Below are 26,152 nucleotides of genomic sequence, written 5' to 3' on the forward strand. Positions count from 1 at the left end.
AATGGTCAGGAAGGAGAGAAAACGGAATCATCAAGAAAAAAGCTAAGAGATATACTTGTCCATGGGCCAGAGAAGGTGACTTACACTTGAACTCAGTGCCCAAAAGGACCCAACAAATCTGGTAACATTTAAGTGAGAATTGAAATCCAAGAGGAGTCCACTTGGCCCAGTGGGTTCTTGTTCTAGTATTTGAAATCACCCCTTGGTTACAATGGTAATTGAATCACCAAACATTTACTGAACAACAACTATGTGCCCAGTACTGGGCAAATGCTGGAGCTACAATGATGAACAAATGGACAAGATCCCATGACTTCATGGAGTTTTCATTCAGAGGAGTAGGAGGAGATAGAAAATACTGAAGTAAACAATAATAAGCAAGGTAGCTGCCTGTCGTAATAAGTTCTTAGAAAGAGATAAATTTGGATATACGTTGGTGAGTGGAGGGGGGAGACTTAGTTTCCACAGAGCAATGTTGCTTAACTTATTTTTCATTGTTGCTCCTCTAAAGAGACTTTTTAGATATTATTTTGCCTAATAAACTCATGAAGTTTTACTACCATATATGTGTGTGTATGTACACATACATGTGTGTTTATGTCCTGTGTGTATATCTGTATTTTATATGTTAAAAGAGTAACTTTATTTTATCTTCCAAGAGCCAGTGTTCATCCCACTGGGGTGATATCATGCTTATTGAGAATGCATGCTGTAGAGAAACTTTAAAGAGGGAAGGTTTCTCTCAATAGGTATCATTGGAGCTGGAACATGAAAGAGGCAAGAAACTAAAGGGAGAGAATTCAACACAAGGAGATCCCTAAAAACAAAGGGGTGAAGAACAAAAGATTTTGGTAAATCCCAAAGGGGCATTATTGTGAGCCAAGGAGGGAATGGTACAAGGAGAGTCTGAGTAGGTTAACAAGGGCTGGATGGAAATTTGGGTTTTACTCTAAGCAGCAGGGGGCTGCTATAGGTTCAGAGTCAGGAGGTACCACATCCTGGTCCCAAGGGTGTTATCCATCAGGACAGAAGCTGAAATTGCCAGGCAGGATCCTGGGCAACTAGGCAACTACAGAAGTCTGATATTCAAGGAAGATCTCATTCCAGCTAAGGAATAGGAAAAGCATGCTAACTACAGACCAGGAAGCCTCCCAATGGAGAAGCTCAGCTAGCATTAAGGAGGGTCTGGCCAGGCACAGATGGTACACGTGAGGCAGCAAGACTCATCTCCAACCCTCAGTGCTGGGGGAAATGGTGCTTCATGTGTGCTGGGGTTGTCAGCACTGGCTCAAAGACTGAGTCCACTAAGGATACAGAGCAAAGGTACTCAGGACCAGCACTAATGAGAGATGAGAAAGCCAAGGCTGGCAGCGTGCTTGACTGAGTCATGCATCATATGCAGGCAGGTCTGGGACTTTACCTTGAACATACTTCTTCCATCTTTATTCTTAGCACTGTCGTCTAAGCTGGGTGGACTCAAGCAATACCTAAACCAAATCATGTCCAACCTTGCTTAAAATCCTTCCATGGCTTCCTGCTATACCTGAAATACAGTCTAAATTCCTCATTGAGGTCTGTAAGGCCCTGCACTGTGTGACTCCTGCCCATCCATTACCCTCACCTCCTCCACCCAAGCTTCAGCAGCATTCATGTTTCTGGTCCTTGAGCCCACCCAGGCCTTCCCTGTCTTGAGCCTTCAAACATGTTGCTCCTTCTATTTTGAACACTCCTTTTCCCAATTTTTGACAGTCTGCTTCCTTCAGGTCTCAGCCTCAGTATGACCTGTACAGAGAAGCCTTCCCCAGCCCCACTCTTGAAAGTAGCACCTTGCACAGCCACTGCAGACCAGGCCATTCTGTCTCCCTTTACTCCATTTGATACTCTCCATTGCATTTACTGTCAGTTGAAATGATCCTGTTCTTTTATTTCTCAGCTTGCTTAGACTGTTGCCTCCCTTCCACTAGAATTTAAACCCTACATGAGGGAAGACCTAGACTATATTATTCCAGACCCCAGTGCCTGGCATGGAATAGGTGCTCAGTACATACTTACTGTGTGAATGGAACAATCCACCAATACAGAGAAAGAGGACTAGTTGGACATTTTCTATGTTTAACAATAAATATGTGTTGATTGAGTGAATTAATGAATAGATGAATGAATGACTGAACAAGGTATAATTTTAAAAGATTATGTTAAGACAAGGTTTCTCAAAATAAGTAAATACATAAATAAAAGACAGGGTTTCTCAGCCTGGGCATGATTGAGATTTTGGGCTGAATAATTTTTTTGCTGGGTAGGGAGGGACTGCCCTGCGCACTGTAGAATGGTGAGCAGCATCTCTGGCCTCTACTCCCGTACCGCCAGCGGTGGCAATAGAAAATGTCCCCAGACATTGTCAAATGTCTCCTGGGTGGGACAAGGGTAGGGGCAAAACCACTCCTACTTGAGAACCACTGCTTTTAAAAGAAGCCACGATGGCAAAGACAGTCACCAGCCAGATAAAGGAATTCTACGTTCCTGTAGCAAGATAGTCCTCCATAGAAAGGAGAGAGACAGCTGTAGCCTGTTTGCCAACAACAGCACCCACAGCCACTCATCAAGAACACCCACCGACTTTCTGCCGGCTTTCTGCAATATCTACAGACATCTGTTTGGAGCTGCAGTCGGACCAAACGTGGCTGTTTATCAAGCCCACGCAGCTCTTCTGGGCTTGAGGAGAGTGTAACATGCTTATTACTTGCAAACCTCTGAAGGACTGTAATGATTTTTCCCCTCCCGTTTGGTAAATGATTGCACAAAATTGCTTCTCAATCCAGCTCTATAACTTCATCTATGGAATATAAAGCCCACAGGGATTCAAAGAAAATTTTATTGGGCTCTCTGAGCCTCAGACTAGAAGATTTAATAATATCAGAGACGATTAAAGTTTCCTCTTAGCCATCTGTCTTTGACTTTATTGTAAATTTAATTCACAAAGCAGAGTGGGTCTACTGCAGCCTCGGGTTTGCTTCCAGATACTAAATGTGCAGCTGTACGTTAAGTTGGAAGAAAGTTAGTCTCACCAAACAGTTTAGAGATGGAAAAGAAATAAAAAATACTTGCATTTTTCAACCAAGCAGCAGTAACAGTGTTGAGAGCCTACTGTGTGCTGTGTGCTAATCCTCTTTTAGGATATTGAGTCTACAGAAGTCCTAGACAACATGTTAATACTTGCATTTGTCAACCAAGCAGCAGTAACATTGCTGAGCACCTACTATGTGCTATATGACAATCCTATTTTAGAATATAAAATCTACAGTAGTCATAGACAACGTGTTTCCTGCCCTTGAGTTTATAATTTAATGTCTGAGACAAAAATAAAATCTATAAAACAATTAGACAATAACTTAGTATGCAATAACAGAGTATTAATTTCAACTGCAACTGGCTTTGAAAACAAGAGAGAACAATGTTAAGAGTGAATGTTAGCCAGGCGCAGTGGCTTATGCCTGTAATCCCAGCACTTTGGGAGGCTGAGGCAAGCAGTTCACTTGAGGTCGGGAGTTCGAGACCAGCCCGGCCAACAGGGTGAAGCCCCATCTCTACTAAAAATACAAAAAATTAGCCAGGCATGGTGGCAACGCCTATAGTCCCAGCTACTTGGGAGGCTGAGGCAGGAGAATCGCTTGAACCCGGGAGGTGGAGGTTGTAGTGTGCCAAGATTGTGCCACTGCACTCCAGCCTGGGCAACAGAGCAAGACACCATTTCACAAAAAGAGAGAGAATGTTGAGAGATGGATTTTACAGATGAGGTGGGGCTTGCTTGGTATGGGAAGGATAGGAAAGGATAGGAATGATTTGGATGACACTGGAGTTACCAGAAATAGATATGACAAGCAGGAGGCACAGCATGAACAACATCACAGAAGTGGGAGTGAGTATGGAGTGGGTGGGGTAGAGAGAAAAGTCTGGGCTAAACAAAGCAGAAGTTGCTGGCTGTAGAGGAGAGGAAGTAAGATTTGTTTGGTCAATGGAGTCAAATCATGGTCCCCTTTGCTGCCAGGCAGAGGAGTTTGAGCTTACATCCTGGGTAGGGGGATTGCTGTTGGAGAGTATGGGGCCTAAGAAGCATGACACCATTTCATCTTCTCCTTTCCCTGAGGCCCACTCTGGCCCCAAGTATGATCACTGTAAAGATTCACACTTAGATACAGCTGTGGTCTCTGATTAAAATTGCTTTCCCCCATCTGCCACTTCATAGTACACAGAGGGCTGCACAGAGATCTCAACAATTTTTTAAATGTTCATTGAAGACCTGATCTGGGCCAGGCGTGGTGGCTCACACCTGTTATCCCAGCACTTTGGGAGGCCAAGGTGGGCAGATTGCTTGAGCCCAGGAGTTCAAGACCAGCCTGAGCAACATGGTGATACCCCATCTCTACTAAAACTACAAAATATTAGCCAGGCGTGGTGGTACACACCTGTGGTCCCAGGTACTCAGGAGGCTGAGGTGGGAGGATGACTTGAGTCTTGGGGGTGGAGGTTGCAGTGAGCTGAGATCGTACCACTGCACTCCAGCCTGGGTGACAGAGGAAGACCCTGTCGAAAAAAAAAAAAAAAGACATTATCTTTACTATTTTACATGATTTATATAAAAGTCTATGGCTACACTCTCCAGTACGGTACCACTGGTCACATATGGCTATTTAAATTTAAGCTAATTTAAATTAGGTCAAATTAAAAATTCAGCTTCTCGGCCGGGCGTGGTGGCTCATGCCTGTAATCCCAGCACTTTGGGAGGCCGAGGCGGGCGGATCACGAGGTGAGGAGATCCAGACAATCCTGGCTAACACGGTGAAACCCCGTCACTACTAAAAGTACAAAACATTAGCCGGGCGTGATGGCAGGCGCTTGTAGTCCCAGCTACTCGGGAGGCTGAGGCAGTAGAATGGCATGAACCCAGGAGGTGGAGCTTGCAGTGAGCCGAGATCGCGCCACTGCACTTCAGCCTGGGCGACAGAGCAAGACTCCGTCTAAAAAAACAAACAAACAAAAAAATTCAGTTCCTCATGCCACCTATGCACATTTCAAGTGCCCAGTGCAGCACAGCTATAGAACTGTTCCATCGTTGCAGAAAGTTCTGTTGAAGCTGGTCTATGAGACGGTATCATCCTTTTTTGGGGAGGTAGGAAAAACTTTGTCTTCCTCACTTTGGCTGTAGTGAAGGTCGCTGTCCAAATGCAGTCATTTATTGGATGTAAGTGTCCTCAGTCTCGCTGAGTCTTCTGCATTTTTACCTCCATGTTAATGACTATGGTTTAATTAGATTTGTGTTTTTCATTCTAAGCTGTCACTAAACCTGTACAGAGATAGACTGGCCTGAAAGAATAAATGAAGGAAGAAAATGTGATGCTGAGCTTGACAGGGACCTTTATCTGTCCCAGGACAAGAGGGTAACTTGATAAAAAGATTAGGCCGGGCGCGGTGGCTCATGCCTATAATCCCAGCACTTTGGGAGGGCGAGGTGGGTGGATCACCAGGTCAGGAGATCGAGACCACCCTGGCTCACACAGTGAAACCCTGTCTCTACTAAGAATACAAAAAATTAGCCCGGCATGGTGGCACATACCTGTAGTCCCAGCTACTCGGGGGGCTGAGGCAGGAGAATCACTTGAACCCGGGAGGCGGAGGTTGCAGTGAGCTGAGATCCCGCCACTGCACTCCAGCCTGGGTGACAGAACAAGACTCCGTCTCAAAGAAAAGAGATGAATGTGGGACACCAAGGACAGAGAAGGTGGAATGGCCCGAGTCAAGGCTGTGGAGTAATGTGATTGTCAGTTCTGAAGAAACTTCAACTCTAGCACCAGACTGGGAAGGGGACAGAGAGGATGACTGAGGCCAAGCATCCAAAACAGATACTGCACCCCAAACTAGGAGGCAAAGACTCAAGGAGAAATTGTGGAAAGTCCAACTTCACTATGGCAGATTTCAACTAGCTGGCATGGACCCTCTTTAAAGATTTAGGAGCTCCTTCTGAGGCACTGAGCACAGTGTGGGGCAAGGATTTAAAAGCATCTCCTGGCTCTGCAGACACTGCTGCTGCACCATGGTCAATCCCACTATGTTGGGGTTGACAGTGCGGTTGATGGTGGGCCCTTGTGTCTCCTTTGAGCTGTTTGCAGACAAGTTTCCAAAGACAGCAGAAAAATTTCGTGCTCTAAGCCCTGGAGAGGAAGGATTTGGTTATAAGGGTTCATGCTTTCACAGAATTATTCCAGGGTTTATGTGTCAAGGTGGTGACTTCACACTCCATAATGGCACTGGTGGCAACTCCATCTATGGAGAGAAATTAGATGATGAGAACTTCATCCTAAAGCATATAGGTCCTGGCATCTGTTCCATGGCAAATACTGGACCCAGCACAAATGGTTTCTAGTTTTTCATCTGTACTGCCAAGACTGAGGGGTTGGATGGCAAGCATGTGGTCTTTGACAAGGTGAAAGAAGGCATGAATATTGTGGAGGCCATGGAGTGCTTTGGGTCCAGGAATGGCAAGACCAGCAAGAAGGTCACCATTGCTGACTGTGGACAAATCTAATAAGTTTGACTTGTGTTTTATCTTAACCTCCAGACCATTCTATCTGTAGCTCAGGAGGGTACCCTCCATCCCATTTGCTCGCAGTATCCTATCATCTTTGTGCGCTCGCTGCAGTTCCCTTTGGGTTCCATGTTTTCCTTGTTCCCTTCCATGCCTGGCTGGATTGCAGAGTGAAGTTTATGATTATGAAATAAAAACTAAATAACAACAACAAAAAAAGCCTCTCCCAAAAGCAGGCTGTGTGTGTTGTGTCATGTACATAGTGGTTTGGAGGGTGAACTGGTGGCAGCTGGTCTGGCTGGGAGGCTGTGGCAATTTTGGGGGCATGAATATAGGTAAGCCACCAACCAAAGTGGGGGTGTGGGATGGCAGAGAATAAACCCATCTCAGCCATTGACAGAAAGGAAATCAGAAATAAAGGACAAAGGGGAAGCAAGAGTCAGCAATGACCAAGGGTCTTTTAAGCTGGGAGGTCAGGAACAGGGAAGCCAGCAATGGCATTTTAGTTAGCAGGGATAGACACTGGTGTGAAAAAGTTGATGAGCTTAGATGTGAGTTTGGTTTAAAGTCATAGTAGGCCATGAAAGTGGAGCTGTCCACAGACAAGTCAAATCCTCAACCACATTCAGGTGAGAGAAGGCTGAATAATTACTACTACGACTGCTACTACTATTACTACTGCTGCTACTACAGTACAATATTTCTAGAGGATTCGCTAAGTACTAGGCATTGTTCTAAGTGCTTTATGTATTAACTGATCTAAACTTCCCAACATCACAATAGTATCCAGGTATTATTATCCCCATCTTACAGATCGCAAAAATGAGGCTCTAGAGAGATTATACTTGCCCATAGTCCCTGCTTACCATTGAATTTGATGGAAATTTGAACCCCAGGAAAGTCTGATGTATAGAAGTTTTTGGAAAGGTATAATGAATAAACTCATTGAAGAATGAGCAAAATAATGCTACTAGGAAATGCTTAGCATAGCATGTTTATATGTGCCAAGTACCTTGCATTTATTAACTCATTAAATCCTCATGATTACCCCTAGTGGTGATAATTGTTACTCACATTATGATACAAATGAGGGAATGAAGGCATACAGAGAGGAATACGTTGCCCAAGGTCACACGGCCAATGCATGGCAAAACCAGCTTTCAGACCTAGGCAGTTTGGCTCTCGAGTCCATGCTATGGACATTAGCGTCTCCACTATGTTGGGAAAGACCAGAACCCTACAACCCCCGCTTTATTCCTGCATGTCTGTGAATCCTTCGTCCTTGGGCAGAGGATGAGGCATCCACAGAAAGGCAGCAGTAAAGGAACCACCACGGCCATCTGACAGGTCATTAGTGTCAGCTGCTGCTGACAAGCCAGGAAGTCCATAGAGAAACAGCCTTTGGGTTTGGCCCAGGCTCATTGTTGACCTTTCAGAAAGCAGTGTCAGTAGAAAGATGGGGGCAGAAGTCTGAATGCAGAGGTTGGTGAAGGGAAGGTGCAGGGAGGACAGGCCAACAGCCAGCACAAGCCTCCCACCTGGCACTGAACAGGACAAACGCCCGGAACCCAGCCAGGAGGAACAGAGGTCACAGGAGGGCTATTTAGAAAGCCAATTCGTGGTTGCCTAGGTCTGGGGGACTTGGAGAGAATGGAGAGGAACTGCTGATGGGGCATGGCATTTCTTTTTGGAGAGATAAAAATGTTCTAAAATTAATGGTAGTGATAATTTCACAACTCTGAATATGCTAAAAAAATGGAATCATACATTTTAAGTGGGTGAATTGTATAGCATATGAATTATATATAAAGCCGATATAGAGATATCATATATATGCTAAGATAGATATGCTAGTATACACGTATATTACACATGAGAAAGGGAGAGATTGAAGGGCTGTTTAATGCTGGGATCAGGAGAACTTGGGAGATGGGGAAGAGGCACAGCCTTAGAATCTCTGGATCCCTGGCCTCAATCCTTATTAATATCCTAGCTGTGTGGCCTCAGAAAACCATCCCACCTTGTCCATTCTCCCAGTTTTCAGATGAGCAAAATTGGGCTCCAGAAGCAATTGCTGTGTTTGCTGTAGGTCCCTACACTTCATTTTTTCCTTCCTGTGTGACTTCTTTCCCTTAAGTGGAATTTTAAATTTTTCAGTTCAACGTGATCACCCCAGCCACTTGCCCACACACACACACACACTCACACATTTCCGATTTCTACGCACATTCTCCCAGCTGGCCTCATGTGTTTTCTGCAGCTCAAACTTACCAGCACTATCACGCCCCCAGGCCCTGCCATGCCCTTGCACCCAGCTCTGCTCTGAGCTGCCCAATGGACCAAAGAAATTAAGGCACAGCTCTGCCTCAGTGTATCCATCTGTGACAGGCTGAAGAATGGCCCCCTAAAGATGTCCACATCCTAATCCCTAGAATATTTGAACATGTTACCTCATATGGCAAAAGGGACCTTGCAGGTGTGACTAAATGAAAGACTCTGAGACAAGGAGAATACCCTGGATCATGCAGATGGATCCAATACAATCACAAGGGCCTATGTAAGAGAGAGGCAGGAGGGTTGGAGTCAGAGGAGCAGATGCGATGGCAGAAGCAGAGGAAGAAGGGTGATGTGATACTGGGAATGGGAAGAGCCTGTAGAAGCCAGAAAAGGCACAAAAATTAAGGAGCCAGCCCTGTTGACACCTTGATGTTAGCCCTAAAGAGACAATTTCAGGCTTCTGATTTGCAGAACTGTAAGAGAATAAATTTTTGTAGTTTTATGTAAATTTGAGTTAATTTATTGTAGCAACAACTGGAAACTAATACATACCACTAATGCCACTCAACAAATGCTTACAGAGTGCCTGCCTGCTGCGCGCCAAGCACCGGGCCAGGCTTTGCAAACACAGTTGCAAGTGAGAAAGCCTGGGCCTATGCTTAGGGGCAGCCAGGATGGTGGAAGTGAACAGTCAGACAATTATATAAGCAGGGAACGAAGCCTGGAGGAAGAGAGCTGGGCAGGGCTGAGACCCAGGCCTGTGCCACAGCCTGGGCAAAGGCCTGGAAGTTGGAGAGAAAGATGGAGGTTGGCACATTCAAGGACAGAAGAAAGGTTCATCAGGCTGAGCACAGAGTGATGGGGAGGCTGACCTCGAATGGAGGGGAGAGGAAACGGGATAGGAGGAATTCCCGCCAACCGCCGGAATATACCCATCCCTCTGGCCTTACTGGACCACTGTGATTTTCAGAAACCTGAGACTCTGAGCCTCCCTGCCTTTGTTCCAGTTGTTAACTTGGCCTGCATGCCCTTCCCTCATCCTTGTCCTCCTGCAAAATTCCTGGTCACCTTTTAAGACTCAGCCCTGGTGTCGACTCTTCCGTAAAACCATTCCTCCCTCTTGCCATTATCCCAACCCTGAGTTAGGAGGTACTGCTTTTAGATCCCATGGGCTTGCCTCCCTCATTGACATGTGCATGGGCAATTTCCTGTGAAAAATGGAGAGAATAACGCTACCTTCCTTCGGTTTCTATTTAGAGGGATTAAATGACCTAATGTACAAAAGGTACTTAGCTTAATGACTGACAGAGAGTAAGTGCTCAACATTAGCTGTCATTACAGGGCATTGCAAATGCATTTCCCCCAGAGAGTGGAGATATTTGAGGTCAGGGACTCTTGGCAAGGTGCCAAGGGAGGAGAACACAGGATATGCCCCGCGAAAGATTTCTGGGGCCTCAGGGCATGCATTTTCATCAGCCTGGTGCAGCATCTCCCATCAAGGTTCTAAGCAGACAACTTCATCTACACCAGGAGACCAGCGTGTTGCAGAATTAGGCTTATTCACAGCTCAGCACTCCTTGTTAGGAGTCTGGGAGCTCAGCTCTGAATACATTCCTGTTACAAAGAAAATGCTCGTCCTTGCCTTTACGCCTGTCATTCAGATGAAAATACTTCACAAAACTGGATTTCCTTGTGAGCCAGGGACAGAGTCAACTCACACTGCCCTTGGCTGTGTTTTAAAAGACACAGACCAGGATTCTGCTGTTTCCAAAGACTGGAAAGTTTCTATTTGCCTTTGAGGTTGATGGAGAAATTACTTAATATATCTTATTTGCAGAAAGGCAACAGAGGACCAGTTTCAAGATTTTTCCAAGATATCTGTACTGATATGTTAATCACAGATTCTTTATTTGCTAGACTAAGTAGATAACTGTGCTGCAGACCAAGATTCTTGAATCTTGGGACGTACATTTAAATCAGATAATGCATGAGTAAAAGGTCACATCCTGGCAGATAAACATGCTGTGGATATTACCACTACCCCCACCTCTGGAATCCACACTTCGGTCTGAGCATCAGTTTCCTCCATTAGAAATGGGGATACTACCATGTTCCTTGTTATTGCATAGGATTTATGATTATTGTGCAATCAACTGAGTCCATATGTGGTGAACTCTTGTACACTGTAAACCACTCTGCTGACACGAGGCATATTATAATGTGCAGAAGCAGGTCTGATTGGATGGGGGCAAATTCTTGGTCCAAAAAACTGGTTTTGTTTTTTGTTTTGTGTTTGAGACAGAGTTTCACTCTTGTCACCCAGGCTGGAGTGGAATGGTGCAATCTCGGCTCACTGCAACCTCTGCCTCCCAGGTTCAAGCAATGATCCTGCCTCAGCCTCCTGAGTAGCTGGGATTACAGGCGACGCCAGCCACCATGCCCAGCTAATTTTTGTATTTTTTAGCAGAGTCGGGGTTTCACCATGTTGGCCAGGCTGGTCTCGAACTCCTGAGCTCAGGTGATCCACCGGCCTCGGCCTCCCCAAGTGCTGGGATTCCAGGTGTGAGCCACTGCGCCCAGCCCAAACTGGGTTTCTTAACCCTTCCACTTCCTAGTGGTTTGTCCTGTAGCACTTCATTTTTCTCTTCCTCCTTTTCCTCCCCTATAAAATAGGAACAGCTGACTTTATTTCCCAAAACAGTTGTGTATGAGTTTGCTAGGGCTGTTGTAACAAAGTACCACAAGCCAAGGGGCTTACACAACAGAAATGTGTTGTCTCAGCGTTCTGGAGGCTGGAAGTGTAAAGATCAAAGTGTCTGCAGGGTCTGTTCCTTCTGAGGGTCATGAAGGAATCTGTCTCATGCATCTCTCTTAGGTCTGGCAATCTTTGGCATTCTTTGGCTTATAAGCACATCACCTCTATCTCTGCCTTCATCTTCACAAGGCATTCCCTCTGTGGGCATCTATCTCCAAAATTCCCCCACTTTATAAGAACACTAGTATTGGATTAGGGCCCACCCTACTTCAGTATAATCTCATCTTAACTAATTACATCTCCACAATCTCCATTTCTAAATAAGGTTGCGATGGAGTTGCTGGGAGTTAGGATTTCAACATATAAATATTTGGAAAAGAGGGGGGGGACACAGTTATATCCATAACAAACTATGAGTCACATACGATCAAAAACGGGAGATGCCTTGCAAATTATAAAGGGCTAAAGAGATAAAATTTTGCATGAGGGTTAAAAGGGCAAACTCCAGATTAAGTTCAAGTCTCCCCTCCTCCAGTTATAGCTGTGATTTCTTAGGAGAGTGGCTTCATTTCTTTCCTAAGCCTTGCTTTGCTATCTGTGAAATGAAGATGATAGCAGGGCCTCCTCTGTGGGGTTGCTGTGAAAATATCATGAGGCTGTGTGTGCAGGGCTTAAGGCATGCCCTGGCACCCAGTACGAGCCAGCCTCTGTTACCAGATCAGAAGGGGTGGGTTGGGTGGGGCCCTGCCTTTCCATCACCTTGCAGTCAAACCTCCCAGAGCTGGTTTCCTCCCTGATGTGCTACTGCTGTGCTGCAAACAGGCTTACCAGTGCCCTTTCCTCGTGCTTGTACTCATTTCCAAAGGCAACTGTGGGAGCTGCTTTATGGAACAGAAGCTCTGAACAGCACAAATGATAAACACATGCTGGTGTTTGCATTCCTCTAACCCTCCAACCATCTAGTCTCTGATTACTAAACTGTTAGCTTGTTTTGGGAGGTTCTGCCAGGAAAGTGCCACGCTCCAGTTAGTCATTTAATAAACTCTAAGTGAGCAGCTGCCAGCAGAGCCATGGACAAATGACAAAGGAGCAATCATGGCTACAGTGTGATATCTGCCCAGAGCCAGGCACTGTGCTGAGCACTTTACATGCATTAGCTCATCTAGACTCATGGCAATCCTGTAGGGAAAGAACTATTATTGCCCCCATTTTACAGATGAGGGCACTGAGGCTTAGAGCATTAAGTGACCTGGTCAAGGTTACACAGACAAAAAGTGGTGGAGCCAAAACTCAACTCTCAGACTGGCTCTCTCCTGAAGCTGTGCTTGTCACCAAGGCCTCAACCCCCTCCAGGAGCGGCGATGACTTTGTCCTGAGCTCTTCAACCTGGTTGCCCCGTCAGGCATCCTGATTTGCAGTGGAGAGATTGGCTTGAACACCCTGGTTCATCAGTTCCTACCTTCTGTGATTAGACAGGTGACACTGCATCTCAAACCTTTCTGCATCTGTAACCCTTGCTCTTCCTGCCTGTTTCAAAGTCTATTGCAAGCAGTGTGTAAGCTGTAAACTGCATGCTGTGTATGGAAATGCCACAGAGTGGGTGCTTGATACAACTTGAGCTTGCTTCTTCCTTTCTACTTCCCTTCCAAAATGTGTGTCATTTTCATAGCTTCCCTAGCACATTCACATGTGTTATCATTCAGTGAGTTTGCTCAACAGACACCAACTGAGTGAGGATGGGGATGTGGTGATTGAGCTCTGTTCCCATGACCAGGAGCTGAAAACCACGTGATGCTCACCCAACCTTTCCAGGGTTGATAAGAAGACCTAGATGCGGAGAGCGGATGTGTTCTCCAAGACACACAACTCTACTAAGTAGTAGCACAGATTCCCTTGACTTTAAGGCCAGTACTTGAGCCTCACCATCTCCCTTTCAGCCTCACCCAAATGGCTACAAATTACCAACTAGTTAGGCTCCAATTTCATTGCATTTTTATTGTTTGGCAGTTGGACATACTCCACATGAGCATGTTTACTTCCCAAGCTACACCGTATGCAAGGCTTTGCTGGAAGTGCAGAGGTGACAATTCAAAGAGGCTATACCTGACTCTACACCTTCTATTTGCACAGCATTTACTTGCCTTTGTGGGGATGAAGCCCCATAGTAAAACCACAGAGATAGGCAGGACAGGTGTTATGTTCATTACACAGATATGTGTGTGTTATAAACATAGACTGAGTAAGGTAATTTGCACAAGGTAGTAGAGCTGGGAATCCAAGCCACATTCCTTATTCCGGAGATCATATGAGTATTTGTGTGTCTGCATATATCTGTGTATTTGTGAGCTTTGCTTATGTGCTTATTTTGCCCTTTCTCCCAGCATAATTTTTTCTATATAGCAATTAAAATAAGCTATATAAATATATAACTACAATATACAACATTTAGAAAATAGGAAAAAAGGGCCGGGCAAGGTGGCTCACATCTATAATCCCAGCATTTTGGGAGGACAAGGCGGGGGGGATCAGGTTAGGTCAGCAGTTTGAGACCAGCCTGGGCAACATGGTGAAACCCCATTTCTACTAAAAATACAAAAATTAGCTGGGCGTGGTGGTAGCTGCCTGTAGTCCCAGCTACTTAGGAGGCTGAGGCGCGAGAATCACTTGAACCCGGGAGGCAGAGGTTGCAGTGAGCTGAAATCGCGCCACTGCACTCCAGCCTCAGCAGCAGAGTGAGACTGTGTCTTGAAAAAAAAAAAAAGAAAATAGAAAAAAAGGCAAAAATATTGCCCATAATTGTGCCACCCTAAACAAAACCATTGTTATTGTCAGACTGTACCCCATTCCTGGCTTTACTCCCATACATCTTTTCCCTCTCTGACCACCACTCCCCCCGCAACCAGTTGTCATTATAAATGCCCCAAGTCTGCTCATGAGCCTTTATGAGCAAATTAAGGGCATGTTATGATGCTTTTCTAAGCAGAGACACAGAGTCACAGCAAAATGCAAGAGGCATTTGCTTTGGGTCAGCATCATTGACAGAGCAAGGGCGAGGAAGTTCACGGTTGGCAAGCATCAAGTTCAAAAGGTGAATGAGGACTGGAATGGGAGAAGACACAGCAAGTGATAGCCAGATGGCTCCGAGGTGGGGCTGATGTTGAGATATACAAACAAGATGGTGGTAGGTGTGTGACCAGTAGTTTACCTTTTTTTTTTTTTTTTTTTTTTTTTTTTTTAAGACAGTCTTGCTCTGTCACCCAGGCTGGAGTGCAGTGGCGACATCTCAGCTCACTGCAAGCTCCGCCTCCTGGGTTCATGCCATTCTCCTGCCTCAGCCTCCTGGATAGCTGGAACTACAGGCGCCCGCCACCATGCCCGGCTAATTTTTTGTATTTTTTAGTAGAGATGGGGTTTCACCGTGTTAGCCAGGATGGTCTTGATCTCCTGACCTTGTGATCCGCCCGCCTCCGCCTCCCAAAGTGCTGGGATTACAGGCGTGAGCCACCGTGCCTGGCCCATAGTTTACCTTTTAGTTAGTATTTAATGCATTTTTTGCTGCTTTTCCTCCGTTAGTCACAGAATCATTCAAAAGAATTGTTACCTGGGTCCTATCAAGTGCCTCTTACTTAGTCTCCTCTCAGAGCAGGTGGAATACATTTCTCTTTAGGCACAATGTGGTTCTAACTCCCAGGTTTGCAGGCCATCAGCACTTCCTTCTACACCCCATGGCAGACATCACTAATCAATCCCACTTGGCATCAGATCTCTCTCAGCACAACATCCCACTCCCACTCAATCAGAGAAGTTACATTAAATGAACCACTGTGGGTCACCCTCACCCCTAACCTGAAATAATCTAACCAATGTCCAGCGCAACCAAAGTGGGCAGAGCAAGAAGAGATACCAATTTCAAGAACAACTGTCAGTGGTGGTCTTATTCTTGCTGTTTCTCAGGATAATTTTCACCTCATTTATGGTTTGCCGAGGAAGTGGCTGTCTTAACAGGCATTTTAGAGAAGCTATCAGCCAGTTTTTCAGCCCAAAGTCATTCACCATTTTCCTAACTCTGATTTATTTGTGGCAGTGTTTTCACATAATATAAACACCAGTTATTTCAGGTCTTCCAATGTGCTGCATTTTAAAAATCTAAACTTTTTGGGTTTATGTATAATTTACTAAAATTCCATTAGAAAACAAAGCATACACAGCCCTAGACATTACTGGTTGATGAGCTCATCTTATTCCTTTCTTTATCCTTGGTTCTAATTAGCCAAAAAGGAGCAGAAGGCCATGGATGGAATAAGAAATGCATGGTAATATTCATTTCTGAGTAATTAACCTCATCTGTATATGTCAAGGGACAATAGTCAATGGGGTTTTTTATATAATTTATCACATTACCATAAAAACATTGAGTAGTTATCTTGGTAGATGCCAAGGCATTTGATGAAATTCAGCAGCTATTTTTTATTCAGTCACTAAGTATTCTTCTTAACCCAATAAATGCTTTAAAATAGAATTAAAATCAAAACCAATTTAAATGCTTTAAAATAGAATTAAAATCAAAACCAATTTAAATACTTTAAAAGGGAATTTAAATGCCAAACAATATTATATTTGGTAAAACAATGTAAGACCCTCAACAAGCTGTACAAGGATGGCCCCTACCAGAAGAAGTGCTAAAAAGAAAATAGATCAATCAATCAATCAATCAATGGAATAAAAAGGCCGAGCATGGTGGCTGATGCCTGTAATCCCAGCACTTTGGGAGGCCGATGGGGGGGTGGGGGGGGTGTGGATCACCTGAGGTCAGGAGTTCGAGACTAGCCTGGCCAACATGGTGAAACCCCATCTCTACTAAAAATACCACAAAAACCTAGCTGGGAATGGTTGTCCACTCCTGTATTCCCAGCTACTTGGGAGGCTGAGGCAGCAGAACCACTTGAACCCGGGCGGCTGAGATTTCAGTGAGCTGAGATGGAGCCACTGCACTCCGGCCTGGGCCACAGAGGGAGACTCTGTCTGAAAAAAAAAAAAAAAAAAGAAAGAAAAAAAGTAACACAGGAATAAAAAGATTATACCTTACACTCTCATAGTAGATAATACTTTTAATGTGCAGCATTCCCTTTCTTAAAAATTTCCTTGAGAATAGTCCATCTTTGTTTTTAATAGACATCTCCTGGGTTTAGTCTCAGATCTCATTTAGTAAATTAGAATTCGCCAAGAAACTTATTCTTACTGAACCGGAGTTTTCTCACCTGTAAATTTGGGAGGAATTACGATAGATACAGCATATGACAAGCACACAGAAAATATGATATTCCCCCCGCTATGTAAGCTCTACCTCTGATTTGCTTTTCGTTTTTCTTTTTCATTTGGAGTCCAAGGCTTAAAAATGCATTTGCTTCTTGAAATAATTTTGGAAATAGACTTTGCAACAGGTAGTTAGTACCTCATATAATACAGTCTTCCTGATCCTTAGTTTCTGAGGGTGAAAATTAATATACATAACACCTATAATAGATACTAAAAATAATAATAGCACTACTAGTTACTGAAGACTTATTCTAAGCCAAGCATTGGACTGGACCAGGGTGTACAAAAATGGAAAAATCACAGGCCCAAATATCTTACAGAGAAATTGGGTACAACCACCCTATCTAGACTTGGAAATTCTGATTTGGAGATCGCCTTGGGTGTTTTCTATTTTTAGAAATAATTATTCAATGCCACGTGATTTTAAAATTATTAGGTTGGTGCCAAAGTAATTGCGGTTTCTCTCATTACTTTTTTTTTTTTTTTTTTTTGAGACAGAGTCTTATTCTGTCACCCAGGCTGGAGTGCAGTGGCGTGATCTCGGCTCACTGCAAGCTCCGCCTCCTGGGTTCATGCCATTCTCCTGCCTCAGCCTCCCGAGTAGCTGGGACTACAGGCGTCCACCACCACGCCCAGCTAATTTTTTGTATTTTTAGTAAAGACAGGGTTTCACCATGTTAGCAAGGATGGTCTCGATCTCATGACCTTGTGATCCGCTCGCCTCAGCCTCCCAAAGTTCTGAGATTACAGGTATGAGCCACTGTGCCTGGCCCTCTGTCATTACTTTTAACGGCAAAAACCACAATGACTTTGGCACCAGCCTAATAACCCAAAAGGAATAACCATATTCCCCCATCAAAAGAGAAACGCTTCTGTATTATTTTACACCACTCTATCTTATTCTTGGTGTTACTGATTTGCTTTTTTTTTTTTTTTTCCATTAAAGGCACCATTGGTGTATCCATGTGGTTTGTCTGTTCTGAGGTTTCATTCATATCCTGCTTTTTTTACAACAGCTTTTAATTTTAACATGATTTTTTGTTTATTGCTTTATTTCCATCCTGTATTAGTCTTTCCAGGCTGCCATAACAAAATATCAAAGACTGAGTGGCTTAAACAATAGAGATTTGCTTCTTAGTTTTGGAGACTGGGAATTTCAAGATCAAGGTGTCAGCTAATTTGGTTCCTGGTAAGGGCTGTCTCTGGCTTGTGGACAGCCACCCTCTCACTGTGTCCTCACGCGGTCCCCACTCTGTGGAGTCTCTTCTTATAAGGGCACTAATCCCATCATGGGGGCCTGCCGTTATGACCTCATCTAATCCCTAAGTGCCTCCCAAAGCCTCCATCTCCAAATACTCTAACCATTGCATTGGGGTTCAGGGCTTAAACGTGAAATTAGGGAGAACAATCGTTCAATCTATAACACTTCCTATATTCCCTAGGGAGAGATTTAGAGCATTCTTACTTTTCTAACTAATATAAGAACTTTGGGCCAAGAAATGTGCTTTAAATATTGTTTGGGCAACATATGGATTCCTTCCTTAATCCATATTTTTATGTAAGAAAAATTTTTTTTCAATTGACACATGGTTGCACTTCATTGTTTTCATTCATTTGTAAGCCTACTTCTCTTCATTTAACACCTACTATTTACCAAGCCTGGGACAAGGCCATGAAGAGTTAGAAAATCAAAATACCTCAAGGAAAAAAACAACTGGTGGTAAAGGAGAAATGTAAACCAATGATTAAAATACAGTGTTCCACGCTCAACAAGGAGAGAGGTTCCTAGGAAATACTGGTGTCAAGTAAGAGGAATTCAAATCTGACTAATGTGGTTATGAAAGACCCTTATAAAACATCCCCTCTCTATCAATATATTGGGCATTATTTGTATGTCTCTTGTTGGCAACCTGTAAAGAAAATTGAATGTTTTAGATGCACCAAATCTTGCAATAATTTTCCTATGGCTAAAAGAAAAATGAAAACATTACGTTTGTTGGCATGGCTTGATTTTCTTCAAAGAAGAAAAGAATTTGAAGCAAAATCAAGAAAGAAAAAGCAGTAGCTGAGAGGAGATGCCTGAAGTTATTCTCGCTGCTGACCTCTTCTGTTTGCCGAGATTCCAACCTTACTTTTTACACTTAAAAATTTGACAGGGAGGTTTTTTCAGAAGTTCCCTGAAGGCACCTTCTGAGTGCAAACATAGAGTAGCCTCGCCACCCCTGCTGAGATCATTTTTCTGTTCAGATCCATTTTTATGTGATTGTTTTCCTGCTTCTGGTTTCCACCTAGCTGCTGTTTTTAAGTGTCCTCTGTTGTACCATTATTCACAAGTTGATGTTCCTTGTTTTATTTTCTAGGTTGGCAGCCTTCCCTGCATCATTATTCTGTTTATATCATTAGCTGCAGTGTAGGTTTGTTGTGTTACAGCATCATACGTTATTTGCTTTGCAAATATGACTCACTGTCTCTGACTTTCATCACCTGTGTTTGTGCGTCCTCTGAAGCGTTTATAAGCTTATCATAGGCCTGCAGTGTTGAGAAACATGGTTCTAAAAAATAGTCACTAAAAAGAGTCAATAGCTACTGCATCTCTCCCTGACATTCCAAGCGTTCTGTCAGATCTAGGAGGTTTACGCTTATATTTACTCCAGACTTAATTTTTTACTTTTCCTTGACTAATTTTTTTAGGTTTCTTTACTCAAACCTTCTTTGATGTTTGAGGTTCCCCTCACCATCGCTCATGAATTTTGGAAGGCCTTGGCTCACATCAGGAACTCATTTCACCACTGTCCCCCCAGTAATGAGTGTTGAATTAATGGTTCTTCCCAGATGTGCTTAAAAGTTCTTTAAAGTACCTTCTTTATTCACTCATCAAAAAGTTTGTCACTTACTCTGTGCTAGGGGATGTTGTAAGGTGAGGACAGCAAAGCCCCTTTGTTTTAATGTTGAGAGCCTGGAGGGAGAGAGATTTGATGTTTAAACTCATTTGATAATTACAGTGCAATGTGGAGACGGCTTTCAGAGCTCCTTTGGAAGCAAAACATCACCAGGTCTGGGGAAAACCAGGCAAAGCTTCAAAGACGATGTTGTGCTTGACCTGGTTCTCCATCACCAGCATACTTACCATTTTACACTGTGACTTGCACAATAGGACAGTCATACGATTGATGGACAGATGTCAACACTTAGTTTGGGATCGCCTCAAATCAGAGCCTGGGATACAGACTTATGTGCAGGAACTTATTTGAGAAATGATCCCAGAGAGAAAAAGTGAGGGAGAAGAAGAGCATCTGGAAAATGAAGGAAGGATGGGTTATCAAAGGCAGCTACTGCTGTGAGTGACTGGTGTTTGATCCCAATCCCTGGGGAAACTACGGAAATGCAACTCAAAACTGTCTTCCTGAAAAACTAAGGGGGGAACGGTCACTCCCCATTAGTCAAGGGTGGCTCCAAAGCACCAACTCCCAGTATTTTAGGGTTGTGCATGTGAGTGGGCTGCCCTCTCTCACATCAGAGCTACCTCTGGGTGAAGCAGAGCTAAAGGCAGGGCCCAAGGAACTGCCATCTTCCACATGCAAGAAGTTGATCAAAGTCTGTGTGGATCTGGCCCTGGCAACAGCAGCTAGGGTATAAAGGGGCCCAGAAGATTTAAAGTGATGTAGAAGAGGTGTTCAATACAGTGGATTCAATTTCTTTCATGGGATAAGATATAGGGACCTATGAAGTTGGTTACATCTTGCAGGAGGCAGCAGAGAAAACTCCCAATTAGAGGTCTACACAGTGAAATGCTGGTAAATATTAAATATTTTAACAACCAGCCCTAGCGGGGGAAAAAAAGCCCTGCTGTGTAGCATTGGCCAATTTCCACGCTGTAAATACTCCCATCGTGACCAATAGCGGGTTATCAACATGACATCACTGAATACAGAAGTGGGAAGAGATGTGCACAATCAGCTATCGGAGTCAGTGCCCCATACGTATTCCCTGGACTCCAGTTCCACAGAGTTGGCTGACAATACGATGGCCTGAAGGGCAGATTCCACCAGGCACAGAGCTCACTTTTGCTGGTCTCCTGTGTGCAGAAACCCTGGCTATGTCTGTGTTTGACAACCTGGTACAAGATAACTGGGGAAAATCTCAGAACATTGAGAATTTTTTGCTGTGAGGCTATATAAAGAAATCAATATCCAGGCAGAACCTCTCTCAGCAGCCCTAGGCACCAGGCCTGCCTTAGGTCCATTGCTGTATAATCCTTTTGGTCTCTGTTTTGCTCTCACTTCTTGGACACCCTATGCCCAGCTCAAGTCCCTCCTATGTACCCCCAGCACTCTATTACTTCCAACACAAAGATATATTTTTTTATTGTCCATATTTTCCATAAAGCTATAAGCTTTCTAAAAGCAGGTGTAGACATCATGTTCAGTTTTATATCCCCAACAGTTAATTTACAAGCTCAGTACCCAAAACTTCATAGTTCTCCTCCTCCCCTATCCTGCAGGGAGGAGTGGTGTCAAGTGCTAGATTTACCCCTGAGCTAGGCAGTTGTGGTCTATCAAAAGCAAAAGCCCTTAGCTATGTTTCTCACCATCCATCATTTTAGTGCCTGTTTAGAGAGAATCATAATAAAAGCAGAGAGTAGCAGTGAAAGATTGAAATATCCACTTCAGGCAATGATAGAAAAGCCATCAAAAGGGCTGGACACGGGGGCTCACGCCTGTAATCCCAGCACTTTGGGAACCCGAGGCAAGTGGATCACCAGGTCAGGAGATTGAGACCATCCTGGCTAACATGGTGAAACCCCGTCTCTACTAAAAATACAAAAATCAGCCGGGTGTGGTGGCGGACGCCTGTAGTCCCAGCTACTCGGGAGGGTGAGGCAGGAGAATGGCGTGAACCCGGGAGGTGGAGCTTGCAGTGAGCCGAGATGGCACCACTGCACTCCAGCCTGGGTGACAGAGTGAGACTCTGTCTCAAAAAAAAAAAAAAAGTTCAAGACCAGCCTGACTGACATGGTGAAATTCCGTCTCTATGAGAATTACAAAAAAATTAGCCACACGTGGTGGTGAGTGCCTGTAATCCCTGCTACTTGGGAGGCTGAGGCAGGAGAATCTTGCTTGAATTCAGGAGGCAGAGGTTGCAGTGAGCCGAGATAGCGCCACTGCCCTCCAGGCTGGGGGACAAGAACCAGGTTCTGTCTCAAAAAAAAAAAAAAAAAAAAAAAAAGCCATCACAAGCCTCTTCATGATTACAGATAATAGGCCCTGTTGGAGTTCAGAAAAAGCCAAGAACACTTCCCGAAGCTGCAGAAGAAGAGGTGCTCATTGTAGGATCGCCATGACCTGTCAGTGGCTCAAGACAGGAAAAGGAGGCCGGGCGCGGTGACTCACGCCCGTAATCTCAGCTCTTTGGGAGGCCGAGATGGGCAGATCACAAGGTCAGGCGATTGAGACCATCCTGGCTAACACAGCGAAACCCGTCTCTACTAAAAATACAAAAAATTAGCCGGACGTGGTGGCAGGCACCTGCAGTCCCAGCTACTTGGGAGGCTGAGGCAGGAGCACGGCGTGAACCCGGGAGGCGGAGCTTGCAGTGAACCGAGATGGCGCTACTGCACTCCAGCCTGGGCGACAGAGCAAGACCCCGTCTTAAAAACAAAATAAAAAGACAGGAAAAGGAGAGTGGAATTGAGTAGGAGGAAAGAGAGAAGCAGGGGGATGTGGACAAAGGATGATAATAATATGACAATAACATACAGCAATGATGATAATAATCAACACACATTGAGCATTGACCATGTACTGGACACTGTCCTAAACATTTTATAAGGGCTGTATTTCATTTAATCCTCACAATAACCATGAGAAGTAGATGTTATTATTTATCCCTATGGATTACAGAAGAAAATGAGGCACAGAGGAGTAAAGTCGCTTGCCTGAAGTCACACAGTAAGACATGAAAGACAAAAACTTAAACAGCTTTTGAAAATTAGGTGATGATATTCTGTCATAAGCTATATATTTCTTCTAAATCTTACCTCCTCTGCACTTCTTTTCCTTGCCTCTCTGCAGTAAGGATTATAAAGATTTCTTGGCAGGTGCAGTGGCTCATGCCTGTAATCCCAGCATGTTGGGAGGCCTAGGCAGGCAGATACCTTGAGGTCAGGAGTTCGAGACCAGCCTGGCCAACATGGTGAAACCCTGTCTCTACTAAAAATACAAAAAGTAGCCAGGCGTGGTGGTGTGTGCCTCTAATCCCAGCTACTTGGGAGGCTGAGGCAGGAGAATCACTTGAATCCAAGAGGCAGAGGTTGCAGTGAGCTGAGATCGCAACACCGCACTCCAGCCTGGGCGACAGAGGGAGACTCTGTCTCAAAAAAAAAAAAAAAAAAAAAGACTTCTCTTGAGCTACTGAGTGCTGAGCACTCTGCCTGTATCTTTTCGTGCAATCTACCCACAACCAATCAAACTTTGGTAGGTAAGGGGGCAACGGTTCAGAGAGGTTTAGGAGCTTGTCCAAGATCACATATCTGCTCAGTGGAGGACCTGGGATTTGAACCGACATCACTGGGGCTCTGAATTTTTCCATGCCTGCATACATTCCTGCCCTTCAACCCAGTCCAGCCTGCTCGCCCTCCCTTCTTGCCTCGTAAGAACGGCTCCTGCGAGAACACCACAGGCCTATAGAAGAATTCAGTTTGAAACCACTTTTCAAGAATGTGACAACAGCCAAATTGCTAGAGAGGGCAGTTTTAGGAAACTTCTCATTTCTCTTTAGAAAACAAGAATGCCCTTTAAGGTGAAATTCAATTAGAGTTGGAATATTATTTGCAAACATATGAATTATTCTCATAAGGGAAAAAGGCATCCCTGAAGTCCTACTTGATTCCCTAAGACTCTGGCTAGGGCCCCAGAACCTGATGTGTAAGCATGGATAGCATGTCTGCTTTGAGGAAAGAGAAAATGAAAACTTGGGAAATGGCAGCTGCTCTTTTTCTCGTGAAGGGACATTTCACAGATGTCCAGTTAAAGCTAAAAAACGAGCCTCTCAGGATATGTTTCACAAACATGAATCCTAGTAGTTTGGAAATTCATTATACAGTATCACTTCCTAAGAATACACTAGGTGGCCAGGCGTGGTGGCTCATGCCTGTAATCCCAGCACTTTGGGAGGCCGAGGCGGGCGAATCACAAGGTCAGGAGATCGAGACCATCCTGGCTAACACGGTGAAACCCCGTCTCTACTAAAAATACAAAAAATATTAGCAGGGCATGGTGGCGGCTGCCTGCAGTCCTAGCTACTCGGGAGGCTGAGGCAGGAGAATTGCATGAACCCGGGAGGTGGAGCTTGCATTGAGCCGAGATCGCTCCACTGCACTCCAGCCTGGGCAACAGAGTGAGACTCCTTCTCAAAAAAAAAAAAAAAAAAAAGAAAGAAAAGAAAAGAAAAGAATACACTAGGCATCAAAACATTTAAAAGACTCTGAGAAGCCCTGCATTAAAGAAATCTCCTTGACATTAGTTAAGCTACTACTTCTCAAAACTGTCAGTGCATCATCATAATTATTAGACATTTGTTCAGTATGTGCTATATGCCAGGCATTCTAAGAGCATTACGACAGTACATCTTTAAACAACCCCATAAGATGCAATTGCTATCCCCATTTTAATAGATGAGGCAAAAGAATAGAGAGATTAAATAACTTTCCCAGAGTCACATTGCTAACAAGTGGCACAGCAGGGATCTGAACCCATGCAACCTTGCTTGTAACCACTACATGCAAACATTTACTATCATCCCACAGGCAGGGACCCAGAACTGGTTTGCAGTAACCTGCCAGTGTACACCAACTGTACCACCCAGTAAGACCAGTGTTCAAACCAGAATCCTAGCTGATTCACAATGAAAAACATAACCTCCATCTCAGAAGTGCAATATCGTTGGTTATCCCAGTGTCCCAGTTGGGAAGAAAAAGGAAAATACACATTGTAAGCAGCCAAGGTCCTTGGTTATGATAAGGGAGCAGCAAAACAATGAGGTGATTGGTGGCTTTAATTACTTGATCATTTTCCCCTACTATCAGCCCTGGGGAGACCAGACCTTCTCATCCTGTGGCATAGTGTCCTGTGGGGTACTAAGGATTCAGTACTTCTCTTAAATTCATAAAAACAGGCCCCTGCCCAAGGCCCTGGGCTTCATAGGACCCTATATGGACCCTCCCTCGGCCTCACCCTTGCTATTCTACAAGGCCAAGAGGATATAGGCCTATCCAAGACTTCAGCATCCCCTGACCAAATGGCCCTGAGCCCTCTTGCAGTGTCTTCACAAGCTTCTTTTCTAGGCCATCCTCCTGTGGGTCAAATGTGCCACCAGATTGCACTTCCCAAAGCCTGAGGAGTGGCTGTTTGTGGGAGGTGGGGAAGGAGCTTGCACGTGCAGACTCTGGGTCCACACGAGTGTACACAAGGCACCCCAAGGGGATGGATGGGGCTGAGATATGAAGAAAGGGACTCCCCAGGGAGTGGGGTCAGCTGTCCTCACTCCCCACCTCTGGCATAGAACTCGGGAGGATGAGAATTCCAAATGGGAACCTGGTCCTCCTGGGCTTGATGATGGTGTATTTGTCAAGGGAGGAGGATAGAAATAGTTCACTTAAAACAAACTGACGGTATGTTAGGTTGATTTATGTCCACTGAATATTTAGACATATGACACATGGGCCCACATTTGTACTCTTTGTAGTCTCATCTTGGACCCCACAATATAAGGGGTGGGCCCACCATACCTCTTCAGTTCCTCTAAGGCAGTGTGACATAGTAGAAAGACAAACATTCAGTACACATTTACAGAATGCCTACATTTTACCATGAGCTGCCTAGAAAGAGTCAAGCCTGAGTTAAAGTCCTGACTCTACCACTTCCCAGCATAAGTGAGTTCTCTTTAGTTGTTTTCAACATCAGTTGCCTTATCAGTAAAGTGGGGTTGATCACCCTCAGCAAGATACCATCAAGGTAGGGGTGAAGTTAACATAAGTAAAGCGCCTGGGATTGAGTCTTTCATATAATATGAGTTCAATAAACAAAATAACATGATGAAAAACACAACAGAAATGGGAAAATGTTAATAATGGTTGAGGCTGAGTGAATGGGGACAAGGTGGTTCATTATACAAGTCTACCTTGTTTTTTTTCTGCACCCAGGCTGGAGTGCAGTGACATGGTCACG

At 44.4% G+C, this 26,152-nt stretch overlaps 1 protein-coding gene and 1 pseudogene across 1 annotated transcript in view, besides 1 other annotated feature; both read left to right on the forward strand.

Annotated features, from left to right (window-relative positions):
* The window catches only part of VAT1L (vesicle amine transport 1 like), a 191,544-nt gene that overhangs the window by 97,772 nt on the left and 67,620 nt on the right, over nt 1–26,152 (forward strand). The window lies entirely within an intron of this gene.
* On the forward strand, nt 6,087–6,580 carry PPIAP50 (peptidylprolyl isomerase A pseudogene 50; annotated as a pseudogene).
* Nucleotides 7,945–8,445: an enhancer, noted in NCBI's record as "H3K27ac hESC enhancer chr16:77928177-77928677 (GRCh37/hg19 assembly coordinates)". NCBI's record gives its function as "activates a minimal SCP1, AML or CMV promoter by ChIP-STARR-seq in naive H9 embryonic stem cells {active_cell/tissue: H9 hESC(naive)}" and the evidence as "EXISTENCE:reporter gene assay evidence [ECO:0000049][PMID:30033119]".

Source organism: Homo sapiens, chromosome 16 (assembly GCF_000001405.40).
Source record: "Homo sapiens chromosome 16, GRCh38.p14 Primary Assembly".
NCBI classification, from domain to species: domain Eukaryota; kingdom Metazoa; phylum Chordata; class Mammalia; order Primates; family Hominidae; genus Homo; species Homo sapiens.